Source organism: Homo sapiens, chromosome 21 (assembly GCF_000001405.40).
Source record: "Homo sapiens chromosome 21, GRCh38.p14 Primary Assembly".
Classification (NCBI taxonomy): domain Eukaryota; kingdom Metazoa; phylum Chordata; class Mammalia; order Primates; family Hominidae; genus Homo; species Homo sapiens.
In genome coordinates, this window is record NC_000021.9 from 29,654,407 (window position 1) to 29,672,324 (window position 17,918).

Below are 17,918 nucleotides of genomic sequence, written 5' to 3' on the forward strand. Positions count from 1 at the left end.
CTATCTACTGGACACAGGCAGCAAAGCCACATCAAATCAATGAATGCCAGACACACTTGGATACACCTTCTAATGTATATAAAAATTGTAGATGATGTTTTTTATGAATAGTTTTTACTTTAATAGTTTCTATTTAATGGAATTTTCATTTTAATCCCTCTCTGAATGCACATGCATTGATACTAGTTAAAAGAAAAAGAAAGAAGGAAAGAAAGAAAGAAAGAGAAAGAAAGAAAGAAAAAAAGCCTGCTGCTCAGCATTGCTGGATTTAGAGGATTCTTAGGAAAGTAAGGCAAGTCTCCATGACAATATCCTGCCTTTGACACTGGTGAGGCCGACTCTGAAATAACTGTGTGAAGACGTTTCCTACCATGTGGAATACATTTCTCCCAGATGCACTTACCAGGGTTGTGAAAAAGTAGTGATAGTACTCGGTCATCATGCCCATGAACAGAATCTGCAAAAGAGAAATAAGGGGAAAGAATCAGGAACAGAATTATAATAAGAATGGGATAATTTCTAGGGTGACTGCAAATGCTTGGAAACATAGAACAGGAAGGGACTTTGGAAATCCACAAACTCAGCAGATCAGAAACCTGAGGCCAATGAGTGGCTGGTGTGGAGCAAGCCAACTGACCTCCAGCCAACACTATTTCCATTACACACTGCTTGACCTACATCGAAGTAATGGGTTTGATGATCAAATTTAAAAATAGTTTGGGCCAGGTGCAGTGGCACAAGCCTTTAATCCCAGCACTTTGGGAGACCGAGGCAGGTGGATCACATGAGGTCAGGAGTTCGAGACCAGCCTGACCATCATAGAGAAATCCTGTCTCTACTAAAAATACAAAATTAGCTGGGCGTGATGGCGCATGCCTGTAATCCCAGCTACTCGGGAGGCTGAGGCGGGAGAATCGCTTGAACCTGGGAGGCGGAGGTTGCAGTGAGCCCAGACTGTACCATTGCACTCCAGCCTGGGCAACAAGAGGGAAACTCCGTCTCAAAAAAAAAAAAATAGTTTGTACTAAACAAATTTTGTATTTGGAGTTGTCCATAATGCACAGGGTTTTGTCTTTCCCACTGCCTAAGTGTCTGAGCCATCTCATACTTAGAAATATGTATTTCATTGATCTCCCTACTTACGACTTAGCATAATGCCACCCTCATTATGAGTAGAACTCATTAAATGTTGAATTGTCAATACTGGTATGTAGATATGTTTAAATGAAGGTTTATGAATGAGTATATCTCTGAAACCTTTCTCTCTCCCCCTTTTCCATGAGAAGGGGAAGAGAGGATTCATTTACAGATAAAAGGATAGGGACTATTCTGACACCAATTTCACACTGTTTCTTCATGCTGGTTCTCAAATAACTACTTGGGATCGTAATAGTTCCGGACATTCTGTGAGCGTGTATATTGTTTTTACTTCGTGGAAGAAGGAAAAAAGGAGGTGGATAGGAAGGACAGGGGTTCTACGTTCATTGAACTGTGATCTTACTTTTGGAGTCCCGGAAATGGTGTCAACTGAGAAGAAGATGCAAATGGTTTGGAGACAATTCTTTCTAAATATGAATAAGGATATTCCTTTCCTTGGGATAGATTACCAAAATAACTATTTGGGTGCTTTTTTTATTTTTATTTTTTTTGTCTTTGCATAGAAATGAAGAGAGAAGGCCGGGTGCGGTGGCTCACGCCTGTAATCCAGCACTTTGGGAGGATGAGGCGGGCGGATCATGAGGTCAGGAGATAGAGACCATCCTGGTTAACACGGTGAAACCCCGTCTCTACTAAAAATACACAAAATTAGCCAGGCGTGGTGGCGGGTGCCTGTAATCCCAGCTACTCAGGAGGCTGAGGCAGGAGAACGGCGTGAACCCGGGGGCGGAGCTTACAGTGAGCCAAGATCGCGCCACTGCACTCCAGCCTGGGGGCCAGAGCGAGACTCAAAAAAAAAAAAAAAAAAAAAAAAAAAAAAAAAAAGAAATGAAGAGAGAAGACTTAGAAATCACATTTCCAAGGTAGTTTTCCGCACAACTCTGGTCAATTCTGGATGCAAGTAAAAATTCCCTCTGGAAGTTTTTATATCAAAGACTCTTAGACACCATCACAGGGACATCCTGAATTGGGATTTCTGAGAGTGTAGCCTTGATTTCTGCATTTCACAGCTGTGTCTGAAAATCACTGCTCTATGGAAAACATGTACCTTTGCATTAAATAACAAAGACTTTCAGATCTTCAGTTGAAGAGATGGATTGAAAAGGTCTGGGGAAAGACATTGCAAGTTATCAGCGGTTCTGGAAGGTGCCTAAGATATGTGAACTAGAATGATTTTACGTGAAAGGGAATAAGAAATAAAGAGGGTATTAGATGACAGCACATAACTGCATGAACACCAGTCCTACACTTCTCAACAACGTCTCTACTAACACGAAAACCAGAGGAATATTTAGTGAAATTGCAATGTCATGAACTTAAGACAAATGACAGGAAACTCCATGAATCATCAGCCCACAGGATATAAGTCACTCCTACGGTGACAACAAGACCAGGCACACTAAAGGATGTTTTTTTTCAAGGGTAGACTTGCTTTAGTGCCATCAATAACATTTAAGGCCATGCATGGTGAGGTCTTGTTAGCTGTTCTCTTATATCATTCGAGCATAAAGAGCTGGCCTGCCAGGGTCAGTCAGAAATCCTATTTTTCACTTTGGTCATTAGATAGTGTAATTGCAGCCAAGATTACCTCTTGAAAGGGAACTGGGCAGGTTTCATGTGAGGATATAGGGCTGAATGCTAAGGTTTAAAATTTTGTTTCTGAAACTGAAAATAGAACACAAAGGCATTTGAGTTTATAGCTTTTCACTTGGGTAAAATTTTTCTTTTTAAATTTCATTATGGAGGCTTTGGATCCCCTGTTAAGAGATAAGCATTTTTTTAAACAACCATTTAACTGATTATTTTTATTATTGTATTTTAAAATTCCTGGAGGTAAATATTCATTTGACATGCCTCTCAGCGTTAGGAAAGAGATATTAAAATGCAGCGAATAAACAGCCAACAGGACAGCTGTTATTGCAAAAAGAACCCTGGGGTCCTCCAGGTACACATTTTATTTGCTGTAGTAGAAAAATTCCCGTTCCTTTTCCTAGCTAATTGCTTGCATTAGTGCCTCCTGGTTCTTCCCTTGAATTTACTAGAAATGGAAATTAAGAAACGAGTCCAGTCATTGATCATTGGCCTGTCAACTTTGTGGACACTCACCCAGGTGAATGAAAAACATCTTGATAAGAACAACAAAGTCAACAGCACCAAAGGCGGTGCTTTTAAAGCAGTTGTTCTTGTGATGGTCTTTAAGCAGCTGAGACCAGTAGCCCTGTCGTCTAATTGTCGCATACTTTGTAAATAAAACGATTGCATTCCCATTTTGATTTTCTCTCTGCATGTTGGTATTTCAACTAAAAGTCATTAAGGGATTAAGAAAATGTCACATCAAAATAAATGTCAGTTTTAAAAATAAAAAGTGTAATCACGATATAGGGAGTTTTCTAATAGTTCTTTGCAGAACTTACTTTTTCCTGAGAATGACTTTGAATTTTGATACAGTACTTGTCTGCCGAACTGACCAAATGGTGCTGACCTAGGCAGTATGTATACTTTATTAGGGCGGTATTGCTAGGAACCATCTCTGGCTTTACTTAATTGTCACAATTAATTTTTTTTTTTGGCAGAAAACACTTCATGTCACACACACTAAAATGTAATAAAGGCAGATATCAATACTGTTCATATGGATAGCATATTCCTCCGAATTGCTTCCACTAATATGTTCTTCTAATAAGGCCCATTTCTTTTTTTTATTTTTATTTATTTTTGAAAGAGTCTCATTCTGTCGCCCCAGGCTATAGCGCACTGGTACAATCTCGGCTCCCTGCAACCTCTGCCTCCTGAGTTCAAGCGATTCTCTTGTCTCAGCCTCCTGAGTAGCTGGGATTACAGGCACGTACCGCCATGCCTGGCTAATTTTTATATTTTTAGTAGAGATGGGGTTTTACCATGTTGGCCACGCTGGTTCAAACTCCTGACCTCAAGTGATCCTCCTGTCTTGGTCTCCCTAAGTGCTGGGATCACAGGCGTGAGCCACTGCACCTGGCCAAGTCTCATTTCTTAATGGAATTAATCTTGTTAAACAACTTTTGACATTATATCATTGACTTAGATTGACAGTTAAAAACAACCCAGCCCTTTTGTTAACATTATGTATCTAAAATAGGCAGGGTGTGGAATATCTATTGATTTTGGAAGATTACTAGTGTGGACGTCATTAGTACTGTTTTTCCAGTTTTCCAACTCAAAGGGTACATACTAGGATTGCATTTCCTAGTCCCTTGGGCTTGGGTGGGGGTATGTGCTGGTTCTAGCCAATGAAGTGGAGGTGATTCTGACATATGTCACTCTCCAGAGATCTCAGTTCCCTAATATCACTAGCATTGTTATCAGTGCCAGAACAAGCTGTTCATTTTTGAATAAATACATTTTTCTGTTACATGAATACTGCAAGTCATGTAAATGATCTTGTTTACAACTTTGTTTTGATTGCTAGGAGGTTTAGGGTCAAAATTACGGGTCTTCCATTGGCAATTAGTCAGGAGCACAGGGCATACATTTTTCATGTGCTAATGTCATCCAGCTTTATGTTTTTGTTATCTAGTTTTCTCCTTTGTGCCAATTCCCCTCCCTTTTAAAAACATTTATTAGTTTGTTTCAAATATATTTTTCCAGGCAGCTCCAATTCTTTATAGAATAAAGATATTACAAATAAACAAATAATCATGATTGGGACAAGTCAAATAATTTTTCCCCATATAAACGAGTGGAATTCTTCAGATCTGATGTAGCTGAGTTGGGTTAGAGTAATGAAAAAAAGTTTCCAACAAAACAGTTTTCCCCCCCTACCTCTAATGATCACCATTGTTAGTTAATTCTAATCTACATTGTTACAGAATTAATTATAAGAACTCAAAAGACATCAATACCAAAAGACTTAAGCTCCTGCATACTTATGAAATTCCATTCCATCTAGATAACATAATCCTTAAATCAGCAGCGGGGGAGTGTCTTGTACCTATTGTAAATGCTTTCTCCGTATCATGCTACTGTACATGGAAATGCCACAAGACTATTCCATTGTTCCAGTAGCTAAAAAATAATTACTGCTTTATTTTATTTGCAGTAAATGGGTCATCAGAAGGCAGAATAAAAACTCAATGCCGGCCAGGCGCGGTGGCTCACGCTTGTAATCCCAGCACTTTGGGAGGCCGAGTTGGACGGATCACCTGAGGTCGGGAGTTCAAGATCAGCCTGACCAACAAGGAGAAACCCCGTCTCTACTAAAAATACAAAAAATTAGTCGGCAGTGGTGGTGCGTGCCTGTAATCCCAGCTACTCGGGAGGCTGAGGCAGGAGAATCACTTGAACCTGGTAGGCGGAGATTGTGGTGAGCCGAGATCAGGCCATTGCACTCCAGCCTGGGCAACAAGAGTGAAACTCTGTTTCAAAACAAAACAAAACAAAAAAAACCCAACAACAACAACAACAAAAAACCCTCACTGCCAGCTGCCTCTTGAAAGGACAATTCTAAGGCCCTACTGTTAACTGTTATCAATATATCCTGGGACACAGTCATTGCTCATTGACAGCAGTGATCCCACATTGGTCCAGCTGCTTTCTGGAGTTTTTGCCACAGAACACTCATGACCTTGTTCACAGTAGTATTGACCTTCTTAGTCTAGCCTAGTTGTTCTTGGCAATGATGATCTCTTAGATCTTGATGGGTGAAGTTATCATGTACGGCCTGAGCAGCACCAAGGCCATATTTTAGTTTGTCTTGTGAGTCCTCAATGAAGTCTAGGTAAAGATGACCAGGACGTAGCTCATAGGGGTCTAATGGCTGTGGTTGTTGACAGAGTCATTCTACAAAATACAGGGAAAGTCTTTGGCTCAGAATCTTCCAACCACACATGGAGTTATCTTAAGAAGCCTGGACCATATTTCAGTCTGATCATTTCCTGGAAGGCAATGCAGAGCTATGGAGACAGCAATGAAAAATTCCTCTCCACAAATTCTCAGCAACCATCACTAAGGGAAATCCATATGCCACACATAATTGGTCTGCTGCTACTATTGTGGTAACAGAAACTCAAAATGGAACCTGGAGTGCTACTGAGCAACTTTGAGGTGTTCTTGTAATATTTATATGGTTTTTTATTACTGCTTTTTTTCCATTGAAAAATAGGTATCTTGGAAGTTTATACTGACTAAGCCGAAGTGTATTTCTCTTTTTATAGCCTTTCTCAATATCAGGATAAATTCTAAACCACCAGACATGGTTTGTAATCAATAATTTCAAGTGAATAACTTCCAAATGTGTGAACATGCAATGTGGCTAAAATAATGGTTTTACCTCAAGATAGAAATAAGGTATTTTTGGCACAGGAGTCTTCAGAAAACCAGGTGAATGATATCAAGTCTCCGAGCAGCAATTTTAAGATGAAAGTTTGAGCTTCAGTGTGTAGCTCTTTTTTATTTGCTAACTGTAATATTTTAGGCTGCATCTATACTATCCTCTGAGCCAGATGCCTCTTTGGCCATGCAATTTTTAATGGTGGTCATCAGTAGAACAAGATGGATATAAGACAGTCTTTAGACCAGTGTTTATTGCTATAGAAAGTACATTCATGCCACATTGAATGATTATAGCTTACATCTACAAAAGTAATAGTGGAATATACAGAAAATAGCATTTGACACCAGAAAAATCCTGATATACAGAAAGATATCCATCTACTTATGGAGGGGACCAAATAATGGTTCTCTAAAGATGTCTACGTCCTAATTCCAGAACCAATGGAATATGTTCCTTTACCTGGAGATGGATTTTACAGATGTGAATAAATGAAAGATTTTGAGATGGGGAGATTTCTCTGAATTATCTAGGTAGGCCCAATGTAGTCACAATGAAAACAGCAGGGTCTTAAGGCAGAGAAGGTGTAAATGGGAATGCGTAAATAGAAGGAGAGAGAAAGATGGAGTGTGATGCGGGGCCACAAGACAAGGAATGAGGACGGCCTCTGTGAGTAAGAAAAGGCAAGAAGTTGGATTTTCCCCAGAAGTTTCCAAAAGGAAAGCAGACCTGCTAACAACATGATTTTAGATCTCTGATTTCTGTAACTGTAAACAAATATATTGTTAAAGCCACTAAATTTGGCTTAAACAGCAATAGAAAACCAATACATCTCATTTTCTCATCTTTCTGTGATTATGGCATATGAAATCGCTGTAACCCTAACTCCAGTGATTGGTACATTACTCCAGCTTTGGTAACGTCAAAAACATGTATCAAGAGGAAAAATTGACTTTTTTCATTTGAGGTTGACAACTTGCTAAGTTCCTCTGTTTCCCTCCATTCACTTACACGTGTTAACCACATGCATGTACACAGGTGATAAGCTAACCACAAGTCTAGGGTTTTTCCTTGGATTTGAAAACTGTGCTATATGATGTATAAATCCAGCCCCTTTTTCTCCTACCTCCAAGTTAAACTAAAGAAAAGCAAAAGATATTCCACAAAGAGTTGATGAATTAAATAACTGTACTATTTGGAAGTTCTTCTCAGTGTTAACTCCTTTATAAGCTTCTCTCCTTAGAGGTATGGTCTGCAGGAGAAAGGAAGCTCATACTAATAGATATTAATAAAAGGAGTGCAAATCATTGGGGTTTAGTTTAGCTTGGAAGATGATCCTACTAGAAGAGCCAGATTGCATCACCCAGGTGCACAACAGATGAGATTATGCTATTTAAGGAGTGCAGACTGTTGAGAACAGAGCAGGAAAAGAAGTTTTCCCATGGCAGAATGAAATAGGCAATCTGGTAAACAGGAGAGAATGGAACTTTTGGGGCAATTACATGAAACTAAAAAATAACCTCTCTGCAACATCTAGGGAAAATTGGTGGAAAGATGATATGTAAGAGAGAATACGGAGGAAACAAATTTTAACAGCAAATTATTGAACAAAATCTAGAAGCTGGAAGGTAACAGAATATTTTGAATTATTATCTACCCCAGATGATTCAGTGTAATCTTTTTGCAACAAGCTTCTTTGATAATGATGTTAATGAAAACTATACCTCAAATTTGCTTGAAAGTCACCTTTTGAAGGAGAGACAGGGGTGCAGCCATTAAATGGTGATCTTGCTGGTCTCACGAGATCTCTATTGCCCAGTAAAGTCTTCATGAGTCTGGGGCCTGATCTTCAGCTTTTTGGGTGACTTGACTTTGTTAATTTATCTGAAAACTATCAGGCTTAAAAAATAATTTATATCAGTGTTTCTTAGTATATTATTAGAACCACCAAGAAACTTCTCCAAAATACCAATGCCTGAGCCTCATTCCTAAATATTCTGATTTATTTTGTCTGGGATATGTTTCAGGCATTGATAGTTACTAAAAACTCCCCAGGTGATACTTATGTACAGCCAGTGCTGAGAACCACTGATTTATATTAACCAAGCTCATATTTTTAAGCTACAACAATAATATTCACAGCGACTGCTTGCTGAGTGCCACAACACGATGTTCACTACAGTAATAGGTTATTGACATTTAATTGGAGAGGAAGTGTTATTCCTAATTTATAGATTTTAGAGATAAAGCATAGTTATAGTATTTGAACCCAGGTTTGATTTCAATCTTGGGATCTTAGGACTTTATTAATTTCTTAATTGATAATAGGAGGTGCAAGTGGCAGGAAAATTAATAATTTGCACAAAATTCTGCTGGAGTTTGAGATCCCAAATAAAAGCATATGGTTATTTAAGACCAAAGTTAGAACCACAGGAGTCAAAGCTTTATCTTAAGTAGGATGCATCAATCCACCTGCCAGAGTTTGTTAAGTTTCCTGTCTACCCGTGAGGGAGCCTCCTGTATAAATGCTGGACTCAGCTGTGAAAGGCCCTTGGATGATGTTCCAGGGACTAGGAGGTGCTTAACTCACAGTTCTTCTTCTGTAAGAATTCAGACCTACCTTGATCTCCTATTATGACATCCCTGGAGATATTAGAATTAATTAGATACAGCTTTTCTTGTGATTTTGAATCCCTTTAGGTCACATTTGGAAAGAACTTTAATCTCCTTAATGGAGTAAGAAAGGATAGTTTCTAAAATTTGTAACAGATTTTTTTTGGCTAAAAGGGTATATTAGACATAATAGATATTTTTGCAATACATGTTATAATGACAGTGGGGACAGATGTGGAGAGCTCTGCATGGCCTGCTAAGAAATGTGTCCTTTATTCTTAATGCAACATCCAGGGTGGAGAGGGTGGCACTCAGCAATTTCAAACATGGAGGTATAAAATCAGATGTTTTACTCAGAATGAATAGTGTTTTAGACTATGCAGAGGATGGTTAGGAAATAGGAGGGGAAAGGAACTTGTGGCAGAGAGATCAATTATATTAGTGGAGAAGGAAGATGATGAGAGATAGAGAAAAGGAGATTGAATCTGAAACATATTCCGAGGGCAGAATCTCCACTGTTTGCTAACTAATGAATGTGAAAGGTGAGAGCAAGTAAGGTGGATTTCTTGGTTTCTGGCTGCAGTAATTGGATGAAATTTCTAGTTACCAAGAAAGGGACAGAGCAGGAGAAACTGGTTGGTTGGGGGAAGAACAAAGAGGATGCAAAGTGTTAATTCTAGCATGGAAATGTAATTACATTAGGTGAGATCTCAGGGAGACTTGGTATGTTAGGCTGAGAGGAATCTTGGAAATCATTGTTATGATGTAGAGCAGGGAGTGATGTCGTGATACAGAGTTGGAATTGGGAAGCCAGTTCTAAGAATTGTATCACACCTGTAGTTTTGCCTACACAAAAGACTACTGCTACTAATGACAATGATAATCTCTAAGTGGAATATTTTATATATTGGTGCTGAGCTTAATGCCTTATATTTAATACATTGTCACATTTAAATTTTCTCAAATAATGTGACATATGTACTAATACATTCCCTTTTTAGAGAAGTGGAAAATAATGAATCACCTGAACCTTCACTAAATAATGATCTCGTCTAACACATTAGAGTTTTTAATGATATTGTAATTCCCATTTCACCCTAGAAGATTCTTTGGCACATAGAACTCTACGGGCCAAAAAAAAAAATCTGGCACATAATTTGGCTGGATAAATGATGAAAGTTACATTTCATAGGATTACCCTTATAGCAGAGAGGATTTGGCTAACAGTCATGGGAAAAGTAGGAAGGAAGGATCCTTTTGATAAGATCTTGCATTTATGAAGTATTGAGGAAGTAGATAAGGTTAACCTAGCAAAGTAATTTTTAAACCACTTTAGTATGCAGGCTTCTTTAGAAAATCTGACGGACACTACAAACCCCTTTCCACAAAAAAGGCACACCCAAGAGCATGCACCTTCCTACAATTTTGAATAAAGCTGAAGTTTGTTGATCCAATAGGCTTAAGATGTGCCCTGACATACATATCTTCAAATACTTTTAACAGTTTCTTCTAAAGTTCCCCTGCTTCCACTGCAAGGAAAATTTTTCTTATCTCCTACTATAGTCAAAAGTTGATATAACCGGGATTAAGCATTAGAGCATTTTTGAAGCATATGCATATATGGTTTTTCTCGCTTCCCAATTCAGGTTGAAGCAAATCTAAGTCCTTTCTTAAACTGACTTTTTGGAGGCCTTTGAGAATCCTCAAATGGATATCCTGGACACTAAGAATATGGGCAAATTGCACACACCTTTAGTAAATTGTTGGTTATCCACAAAGGTCAATTAATTCTTGTATACATTTAATAATATACTCGTAACTATGAACCGCTCCGTACAACTAAAACTAACTATGTGTTCAGGGAATATAAATAGATTTTAATATCAGCCTGAGAGAAACATAATTACGATGAGAATGTACCGCCAAAGTAATTATATAACATACTACAAATTATCATCAAATTAGTATAAATTGAGATTCATCATCATTACATTGTCAGGATTTATCCAAAGTAATGAACTTATCAATTAACTGGCTCAAAGACTATCAAAGGACTGGAGAAACTTTAAGAAAGAATGAACTGCTTAATTAATTTCCCATTTCTTTGAAAGCCTACTAAGTACAAGCAAGTTCTTTATATCTAAACGCTAGTAAGAGGATTCTTGGTCACGTGTATGCATGGAAGCTCAGAGCTGATGGAAATATTAGCAAGCTTTGATAATTTTGTTTACAGATGAGGTGACTGAGTTGAAGAGGCATCAACAGAATTTCTCAAAGTTGCCTGTTTACAGGATGTGAGCAACATGGGTGATGTGAACATCATACTCTGATCTGAAATTCCAGACCTGTCACTGAGTGTGTGACCTGAAGCCTCATTTTCCTCATCTATGACAAAGACTATTTTGAGAGGATAAAAAGAAATCATTCCAGTCAAACACGTAGCATATTATGCATGCAGTAAATACCAGATAAATGGTAGTTATTTTTTTCTGTTAGGGAAAAAGCAGAATTTGCAAATGGGTCTCCCAACTTTCAGTCTAAGATTCTAATCACAGTCCCTCACTGGCAGGAACATACCTATATAAAAAACCTGCACATGTACCCCTGAACTGAAAACAAAAGTGAAAAATAAATAAATAAGCCAGGCTTGGTGGCTCACGCCTGTAATCCCAGCACTTTGGGAGGCCAAGGCAGGCGGATCACCTGAGGTCGGGAGTTTGAGACCAGCCTGACCAACATAGAGAAACCCCATCTCTACTAAAAATACAACATTAGCTGGGCGTTGTGGTGCATGCTTGTAATCTCAGTTGCTTGGGAGGCTGAGGCAGGAGAATCGCTTGAACCTGGGAGGTGGAGGTTGCAGTGAGCCGAGATCATGCCATTGCACTCCAGCCTGGGCAACAAGAGCAAAACTCTGTCTCAAATAAAATAATAAATAAATAAAGTTTATTAATTAAAAAAAGAAAGTAACTTGATGGTATTAGGCCAATTTGCAAGCACTGGATAATTTTACACTTGTTACATTCATTTTCAAGGTCTCTTTTTGCCTTAATCGGGCAGAGATTTGGGTTTTTATTCTTGTTGTTGCTTCCACTGTTGTATCTCCAACACCTTCAATCAGTGCTCAACAAATAAGTATTGAATAAAAAAATAAATTTCTCTATGATATCCCTACCACATTCTCTACTGGGCCATTGGACATTTGATACAATTCACATTTCTTAAGGAATTGTGTAAAGCTAGACATGATTAGATGTTTGAGAATAAAATGAAACACCTTCGTTCAAGAAGTGCAAGGCTTAACTAAAATACGTTTCAGGTTGCAATAAGACGAGAATCAGTTGACATCTTGTTGTACACAACAGTAGCAGAAGAGGTTACATTTTTTTTCCTTTCAAAGCCTCAGATAAGTTTTAAATCCCAGACCTGCCACTTGCTAGCTTTGTGACCTTGGGCAAGTTACAAAATCTCTCTGGGCTCTGTCAGTTTCTTCTATCCAGAATGTTCTCATAAAAATTAAATGACTGATGCATTTAAGCTGCTTAGCACAGTGCCAGCATACGGTACGTGTTCAGTATAAAATGGCCCCTGAGGTCTTCGGCCTTTTCTATGTATTTATGATGAAAAAAATGATTGACTTATAGATCTGACTTAGTGGGCACATGTTTACCATCCCTTAGCATAGTGTGCCATGCTTGACTTGATGTTTTCTATAGTGAGAGATCACAGCTGATGGTTGCTTCTGTCTTATCTAAACAAGGGATGAAACCAATTTAAGCATCTCTGTTTGCCATCATTACAGCCACTGAGCACAACATATATGAGGAGAGAATCAATGCACAAAATTATTTGATTAACTAGCATTGTCATTGCACTTTCTAGCAGAGGAAGACCAGGCATTAAACAAACAAACAAAAAGCCATTTTCTTCTTTGCCTTGTTTTTATGTTAATTGAAAGAGATTTAAAAAAAAAGTGGGTTGGGGGTGGAGAAAAAAGCAAAAGCATGCAAATGTTGACAGGAGAAAATGCAATATAGCTGTACAAACTATTTTGGTGCTAAATGTTTTATGCAGACTAATGGCTCAATTATAGCTAAATATTCATTGCCACTAGTGTTGTGGGAGAAAAAATCTCCCTCAATTTGTTCATGTAAAGGAGAGGGCAGGTTTTCTGAGTGGGAAACAGCATGTTCATGCTCACCTGCTGGCCATTCTCCAGCTCAGGAAATTGGCCCAGCCCCCAGGGAGCTTCCCATTGAATGGAGCAAGACAGTGCCATCTTGCTTTTCATCAGAGAACCATTAGGAATGGGTGCCTGAAATAGCGATTTGCTCACTCAATCCTACTATAGATTTAAAAGTGACTAGGCAGTTCTCCAAAGAGCCAAATTTATTTTCAGGAAGTGAAATCACAGGCTCAAATGCATTACGGTTTCTTAATAGTATAGGATTTCATAGTTGAACAAAGCCTTTCTTTCAGGTAACAGGCACGGAGGAGCAACTCACCCAAATGTGCTTGGCAGAGATGAGAGTATAGCAGACTCAGTGGGGTAGAAGAAAATATGACTTTGGGGATGATTTACTGAAAGAATCTAGAACAGTTCTTGGCTCATTCATTCGTTTGGTTCATTTATTCATTCAACAGAGCTGTACTGAACACTCGTTGTGTGTCAAATGTAGTAGGTGCTAGGGATTTGGGGGAAAAGGACAAAGAAGGCTTCTGTCCTCTTGGAACTTACAGTGTAGTAAAGGATATGGACAACACATGAGTAAATGTCTTAATTCACTATGATTTTTATTGTGGTGATAGAGCAAACTAAGTAGAGTGAAGGGATATAGAGAATGAGAAGGGAGCTTCCTCTCTTTTATCTCTTAAGAGATATTCATGAAGACTTAGGTGGGAATGACTGGGAATTTAGAATGTTCCAGGATTTGGCAACCGCAAGTGCAAAGGCTATGATGTGGGGAGAAAAGGCTGTGTCACGTGGCCAGAAAGGATGCCTCTGAAATGGAGCATCGGATACTGGAGGCCAGCAAGAGGAGAAAGAGGCCAGGTCAGGTCATGCGGCCTTGGTGTTTTCTATTTAAGTGTATGCTCAGTATATGGTAGATAAAATTGGCTTCAATTTTCAATTGCAAAAGAGGAATAATGCCAATCATATTAAAAGTTATTTGGTCACTTAAATGAGATGGTTGCTTAGCACCCAGCATCCTGCTAGGTACAAGTTGAGAATTCCATAGGTAGAGCTTTCTTGCCCTTTGCTTCATTCTTTAAATTCACCTCCTTTCAGCCACTCCCTCAGTAAAATCACACTCAGTATGAATGAGGGTGTATATGAAGGATAAACAGCGAAGAGTCGGCGAAAGAGTAGTTGGACTTGGGGAAATGAGAGTGAGGAGGAGCAATGGTTTCCACATTGAAGGCAGGTTAAGGAGAGAGCAGCATCTTTTCAAAGCATCAGGACCCTGCTGCGAGGTGGTGGGTGGGTAAGTTGGGGAGAGGACACATGCGACCTTCTGGTTTATGGAAATTTTCCAACTGTAGAAATTCATGAAGAAAGTTCATATGAAAGCCCTATCTTCTGTAGCCTAATCAAGTCTTGACATTCAAATTTCAAATGAATTTTGGGGAAATAACTTCTCAGATTTTCATCATATAGTACTTGTTCAATATGAATAGAAATAATTACTTTGCTGGAGTAATTAGCATGCCCAAGAATAACTATAGACTTTTCCCCAATTTTTGCTTTTAGATAAATGTTAAATATCTTTAAAGTGCCTTTGATTTCTTCTTTTCTGAAGAATCATTAAAAGGTGAGAAAATATGATAAAGGTGCAGGGAAATGCAGGACAATGATGGAAAACGCACATAAAGAGGGTACCACATTGACCTGGCAGAGAAATGTTCTTGGCAGTGATTTCAGCTACCAGAAAAGTAAAAGCTATTAATACTGATCTTATCTAAAGAAGACCAGCAGCATATGGCTGTGTTTTTTCCAGACATTTCTGAAAGCCTACTTCAGAATAGTCATCCATTCTGCTTGGGGGCCCTTCAGAGTAAAGTGAGCACACAGGCTCTGAGATCAGGCAGTCTGGAGACCACATGGCAGCCTAGCCAGGCTCAGAGAATGACCTTATATGGGTCACTTATCCTGTCTGAGCGTCAGTTGCCTCACCTCGAAAGTGAGAATAAGAAACTCACCTCAGGGGGTTGTTTGAGATTGATGCTATGATCATGTAGGATGCCACACACCTTTGTTGGCACCTCTTAGGACCCTCAGTAAAAGAGGTAAGTCTCCTTCCTTTCCTTTCCTTGGGTAGAAGGATTAGTGGAATGGCAGCCAGAATCAGGACCCAGAACTCCTGAGTCCTCAGCCTCCCTAGGGAATCTCTTAGCAGACAAGTCTCTTTCTACAGTTTTTTCTCCAGGGCAAATGGAGCAAGTTAAGCTGGATCACATAGAGTGCTTGGGCCTTACTTTGACCAGAACAGAAAAGTTCTGATGTCTCCAATATCCCGTTTCAAGCACAGCAGCCTCTGGAGGTTCCAATGAAGCCCCATTAAGCTGACCTGAGTCCTCTGTAGTTATTCCAAAAAGCGCAATTGCCCTTTTACATGCAATACGGTAGGAATTTCATGATAGGACCTTTAAAAAAGGGTTCTTATCTCCAAAATATTTGCAGATTATTAGTCTAGAACGAAAACTGGATAAGCCATCTCTTTAGTGTCTTCCTCCAAGCCTCACAGCCACTCTTAACACTAAAATGATTAGGAAAAGCAAACATAGGCCAAAACATGATAAGAGAGAGGATAGAGAGAAAAATGTCTGTGTCAGTGGTTGGTACAAAGCTGAACTAATCCTACTCCCCGCTGTACCAGCTAGACATTTCTTGAGAGTGCCATTCTTGGATATTTTGCTTTTGTTTTTGTTTTAATTGTCCTTTGAATGATGTAATCCCCAGGCTACTAGGAAAGAGCTACTTCTATCAAAGGAACTTCAAGTCCAAATTTAGTGAAATAGAAGAGAAAATCTAGCAGCCCTTCCCTGCCGCCACCATACACTGTTCTTGCCTATTCCAGACCTGCCTTTGGGAGAGATGTGGCCAGTTATGTGAGACAAATGAGTATCTAGCAAAGAGAAGTCTCATCAGCAAATCATTCTCTTAAATGTAACAGAAGTCCTCAGCCTCTGTTACAACAGGCCCCTGGGAAGGGATGCTTCTTTGCCTTTTGAGGGCTACACATAAATCTGGGTGTTTTTCTCAGTTCTGACCCACACACTTCATTACACCCTTTAATGAACTGTATTAACATTCTTAAATGAAGCCTTATGATAAAGGATTACTGATTGCATTTACTTACCTTTAAAGTTCTTCAGTTGTTGACACTACTGCCACATGCTTACTTGCTTTATTGAGAGGAAATTTTAATATCTAAAGATTTGTTAATGTAACTATAACGTAGAATTAAGCAATGGATACTCTTCTGCCTAGCAGGAGTGACAGCATCTCATGGTGGAGAAAGCACTGGATGTATGACTCTGGCAATATCATTTTATATCTTGCAAAGTGTGAGAATTAGATATGGTGATGTCTGTGATTGCTTTCAAATGCAACTTTGTGTTCCCAACTTTATTTTATTTTATTTTATTATTTTTTGGGGACAGAGTCTCACTCTGTTGCCCAGGCTGGAGTACAGTGGCATAATCTTGGCTCGCTGCAACCTCCACCTCCCAGGTTCAAGTGATTCTCCTGCCTCAGCCTCCCATGTAGCTGGGATTACAGGTGCCCACCACCACACCTGGCTAATTTTTTTGTATTTTTAGTAGAGACAGGGTTTCACCATGTTGGCCAGGCTGGTCTCGAACTCCTGACCTCAAGTGATCCTCCCACCTTAACCTCCCAACTCCAACTTTAAATAGAATTTTTTTTTTTTTTTTTACTCTAATCATCCAGCACATAATAGAAACATTTGGTCAACTTTTTTGACTGCTGATGTTCAGTGCAAGTAAAAACTCAATTCTGAACTCAATGGCTGCATGGAGGTGCTCTGCAAGTGTGAGATGGAGCACCAGAGAGTCAGGCCAGATGATTATTTGAAGAGAGCTCTTCCTAGTGATTCAAAATTCCACAGTTCTGCATTCCTGCGAAGGGGTTTATCTACTTATGAAATTACTGGCCCTTACCAATCAACAACATAGCAACCCCAGACCTTTAAACAAAGGAGTGCAATACAGCTTGTGTTATTTTAGATAAAAACTTTGCCTATGCCACAATAATGACTTAAATATAAAGAGATGGCCGGCAGACCACATAAATATAACCTGGATATTTTTTCTTTCTCCCAAATTCAATCATCTGATCTTTTATTAATGCTTCTATTTTAAACGTCTCACTAGCCTTTCCAGATGTGTATTACAAGATGTTTAGCAGTACCCACTAGTTGCCAGTAGAGTGCCCTGTTCCAAATATGACCCCCCAAAATGTCTTCAGACATTGCTCTAAGTTTCCAGAGGGCAAAATCACTCTGGGGTGAGAAGCACCAGTCTGCGCTTTGTTTCTAATTCTGAATTTACTTTTTTTTTTTTTTTTTTGAGATGAAGTTTTGCTCTTATGGCCCAGGCTGGAGTGCAATGGTGTGATCTCGTCTCACTGCAACCTCTGCCTCCTGGGTTCAAGCGATTCTCCTGCCTCAGCCTCTTGAGTAGCTGGTATTACAGGCATGCACCACCATGCCCGGCTAATTTCATATTTTTAGTAGAGATGGGGTTTCTCCATGTTGGTCAGGCTGGTCTCAAACTCCTAACCTCAGGTGATCCTGCCTGCCTTGGCTTCCCAATGAAT

The 17,918-nt window shown here is 39.2% G+C and overlaps 1 protein-coding gene and 1 long non-coding RNA gene across 14 annotated transcripts in view, besides 1 other annotated feature; one reads left to right on the plus strand and one right to left on the minus strand.

Annotated features, from left to right (window-relative positions):
- GRIK1 (glutamate ionotropic receptor kainate type subunit 1) overlaps positions 1 to 17,918 on the minus strand; it is a 403,064-nt gene that overhangs the window by 117,474 nt on the left and 267,672 nt on the right. For all 13 annotated transcript variants that reach the window (NM_001320621.2, NM_001320618.2, NM_175611.3 and 10 more), the window contains one exon: positions 404 to 457. In NM_001320621.2, the coding sequence (NP_001307550.1) occupies positions 404 to 457 (54 nt within the window). The remainder of the gene's footprint in view (positions 1 to 403; positions 458 to 17,918) is intronic.
- Positions 2,621 to 2,770: an enhancer, noted in NCBI's record as "active region_18350". NCBI's record gives its function as "activates an Ori minimal core promoter by ATAC-STARR-seq in GM12878 lymphoblastoid cells {active_cell/tissue: GM12878}" and the evidence as "EXISTENCE:reporter gene assay evidence [ECO:0000049][PMID:35858748]".
- GRIK1-AS3 (GRIK1 antisense RNA 3) lies at positions 3,000 to 3,424 on the plus strand. The gene has a single exon (NR_199598.1). It is a non-coding gene; the product is annotated as a GRIK1 antisense RNA 3 (long non-coding RNA).